The 4,001-nt window shown below is 38.3% G+C and overlaps 1 annotated feature.

The window, feature by feature from the left end:
* Nucleotides 2,844-3,459: an enhancer, noted in NCBI's record as "NANOG-H3K4me1 hESC enhancer chr1:80603369-80603984 (GRCh37/hg19 assembly coordinates)". NCBI's record gives its function as "activates a minimal SCP1, AML or CMV promoter by ChIP-STARR-seq in primed H9 embryonic stem cells {active_cell/tissue: H9 hESC(primed)}" and the evidence as "EXISTENCE:reporter gene assay evidence [ECO:0000049][PMID:30033119]".

Below are 4,001 nucleotides of genomic sequence, written 5' to 3'. Positions count from 1 at the left end.
GAGATGGTTTTCTTTCCATTGTACTATGTTGCTTTGTTGGAAAAACTGTATATTGCACTCAGTGAAGCTAAATAACAGTGGGAAATATCTCATTGCTGATTACTGTTTTGTTTTTCAGTGTTGCTCTTTTCTTATATAGCTAATTTTTAATATATATTTATGTGTAAACCATCTTTCTTAGAGGATAACCTGCATGTGAATACATTTTGCATTTTAAAGCATTTTGAAAAGGCTCTAAAATAGACCATAAGATGAATAATAATTTTTAGCGTGTACAATATTGAATACATCTTATCTACTGAACAACATGAAGCTTTCTTTAAAATAGAACACAAGGGTTAGATGTATTTCATAGGAACCATTTTTTTTTTCTGAAACTTAACTATTATTGGTCAAACCACCCTATCTTTAATCTTGACTCATTCTTTCCCTTTATTCGATATATAGCATGATAGATCATGCCTACAAAGCAGTATTTCATTTATTGCAAGAGGCCACTGTAGAACAGCTCTTATGGATCCTGACCTAAAGAACCATGTTATTTCTATAGTAAAAATTATGGAAAATGAAGTAGGTAAATAAGATATACCTAGTTATATACCAAGAGATAGTATGTAATAAAATATTAAATGGTTTAACGTTTAGTGAAGATAATCAAGAAAGTGATAGAAAATTGTGCAGCTAGAATATTTGGGGAAGTCTTTGTTGATAAAAAAATACAGCTTGTTCTATACTGTTTTTTAATTATCCTGTTTTGTGCCATTTCCTTTGCATGCTGTGATTTTTGGGCTTCTTTGGCCTAGCCTACCATTTCTTCTCTTGGAGCTAACTAATGAAACTAGCTTTGGTCTTGAAAACTACAAACCCTTCTAACTGCAGTGAAAGAAATCTCAGCAAGATACAAAGAAGAACTATCCCCTCCTCATTTACAGCTGTAGAAAAACAGATGTAACTCTGCATTATGCAACTGTTTTTGAAGAGTTATTTTAACAATTCTAAGAATCCTGAACTATGGGTATGTTTGCTATATCTTGTGAAACTAAGTCTTAACCTCCTTAACATCTGTGATTCTAACTGATTGTAAGCTAATAATTTGTTGCCCTTGGTAATATCTAATATGATATCTCTGTTTTGACATCTCTGTTTTCTAAAACAATGAAGGCTTATACGTTTTCTCATTAACCAGGAGAGAATTACTGACAATTCCTTTCTTTCCCACATGCTTGGAGAGGAGGAGGAAACCCAGTCTATGACTCTGCTATATTTCTTATTTAAATAAAGGTTGAGATGTTTTGCCTCATTTAAATTAACAGTTTCTTAGAGATGTTACTGGAATTAAATTTTTTAAAAGAGAAGAAATTTTAAATAAATACAATAGAAGAATTGGGGAAAATAGTGTTGATTAATGCAAAGAACACACTTAAAATTTACAAGGAGGAGATGTTCTAACACAAATTCTACTATTGGCCCACTATTTATTCATTCATTAATTCAGCACACTATTATTGAGTTTCTATTTGGTATCAGAAGCCCATTCAAATATTTAGAATGAAGAAACAAAGTTGGAGTTAGAGCCATTTGGGTCTGGAAACAGAATCTGTCTCAAAATAATTACTTGGCCTTGAACAAGATAATTGACCTCTATAACCCAGTTATCTTTATTTCATGTTTAAAATGGGACAATGATACACTGTGATTAGATTAATATGCAAGGTGGACAATAGCTACTTTAGCAAAACAAATAAGAGATACCACAATTTACAGAAAAACTGAGAGATGGATGGAGCAATAGATCTATATATGAATAGTTGTTATTCAACATTTTAGAAATCAGCAAAATATTATGGGGTTCATGGTAGCATATTCATGGTAAACAAAAGGTTTGTGCTAGATACTAAGATTACATCTTTGTTCTCTGGTGGACATTTGGGAGAGTAGAGGCAAGAGTGTCAATGCCTCTACAGATGCTATTTTGATTGGGAAATGTTACTTTTTTGACCTTAATATCCTTATTTGTCAAATGAGTGAGTTTAATCACTAGGGTCTCTTTGAAAACCTAAATCATGTAGTTTTATATTCTCCATGTTTGTTTATGTTATTTGTTAGAAGCAGATCTTTTACCATATATAAGTCAGAAAATCACCTCTTCTATTTATTATTTTGTAGTCCTCTCATGACTAAGTTTATGTACCAAAGGATGAGAGAATCATAGGGCTTATCCCTAGTTACATTCTGACTTTGAAGACGTGGTCAGCATCAAGATTCTTTTATCATCAGTTCCCTCATGCAGCTATTCACTATTCAGCTGTTACATTGCTGGTCCTTCCTGGTTATATTGCAATTGTTTCATGTTTCTAAAATTCTTAGAGAGATTATAAAGTGTTTACATTATTTTCTTTGTGTTATTTTAATAATTGTTTTAATATTTACTTTCTCTCAACTATAAAAGATTGAGAGGTCTTATAAAATATTTAAAGTACTAATAGAGTGATCAGTGAACACTTAATATGTTTCAATCAAACAAAAAGTGGGTGTGAACATCTGCTTGAAAATTATTAATTATTTGAGGGAGGAACCAAGATGGCCGAATAGGAACAGCTCCGGTCTACAGCTCCCAGCGTGAGCAACGCAGAAGACGGGTGATTTCCGCATTTCCATCTGAGGTACCAGGTTCATCTCGCTAGGGAGTGCCAGACAGTGGGCGCAGGTCAGTGGGTGTGTGCACCCTGCACGAGCCGAAGCAGGGCGAGGCACTGCCTCACTCCGGAAGTGCAAGGGGTCAGGGAGTTCCCTTTCCTAGTCAAAGAAAGGGGTGACAGACGGCACCTGGAAAATCGGGTCGCTCCCACCCAAATACTGCGCTTTTCTGACAGGCTTAAAAAACGCGCAACACGAGATTATATCCCGCACCTGGCTCGGAGGGTCCTATGCCCACGGAGTCTCGCTGATTGCCAGCCCAGCAGTCTGAGATCAAACTGCAAGGCGGCAGCAAGGCTGGGGGAGGGGCGCCCACCATTGCCCAGGCGTGCTTAGGCAAACAAAGCAGCCGGGAAAGCTCTAACTGGGTGGAGCCCACCACAGCTCAAGGAGGCCTGCCTGCCTCTGTAGGCTCCACCTCTGGGGGCAGGGCACAGACAAACAAAAAGACAGCAGTAACCTCTGCAGACTTAAATGTCCCTGTCTGACAGCTTTGAAGAGAGCAGTGGTTCTCCCAGCACGCAGCTGGAGATCTGAGAACGGGCAGACTGCCTCCTCAAGTGGGTCCCTGACCCCTGACCCCCGAGCAGCCTAACTGGGAGGCACACCCCAGCAGGGGCACACTGACACCTCACACGGCAGGGTACTCCAACAGACCTGCAGCTGAGGGTCCTGTCTGTTAGAAGGAAAACTAACAACCAGAAAGGACATCCACACCAAAAACCCATCTGTACATCACGATCATCAAAGACCAAAAGTAGATAAAACCACAAAGATGGGGAAAAAACAGAACAGAAAAACTGGAAACTCTAAAAAGCAGAGCGCCTCTCCTCCTCCAAAGGAACACAGTTCCTCACCAGCAACGGAACAAAGCTGGATGGAGAATGACTTTGATGAGCTGAGAGAAAAAGGCTTCAGACAATCAAATTACTCTGAGCTATGGGAAGACATTCAAACCAAAGGCAAAGAAGTTGAAAACTTTGAAAAAAATTTAGAAGAATGTATAACTAGAATAAACAATACAGAGAAGTGCTTAAAGGAGCTGATGGAGCTGAAAACCAAGGCTCGAGAACTACGTGAAGAATGCAGAAGCCTCAGGAGCTGATGCGATCAACTGGAAGAAAGGGTATCAGTGATGGAAGATGAAATGAATGAAATGAAGCGAGAAGGGAAGTTTAGAGAAAAAAGAATAACAAGAAATGAGCAAAGCCTCCAAGAAATATGGGACTATGTGAAAAGACCAAATCTACGTCTGATTGGTGTACCTGAAAGTGATGGGGAGAATGGAACCAAGTTGGAAAACA

This window comes from Homo sapiens, chromosome 1 (assembly GCF_000001405.40).
Source record: "Homo sapiens chromosome 1, GRCh38.p14 Primary Assembly".
In the NCBI taxonomy this organism is placed as follows: Eukaryota; Metazoa; Chordata; class Mammalia; order Primates; family Hominidae; genus Homo; species Homo sapiens.
Note: the sequence above shows the minus strand (reverse complement) of the source record. Positions and strands in the feature narration are given on the sequence as shown.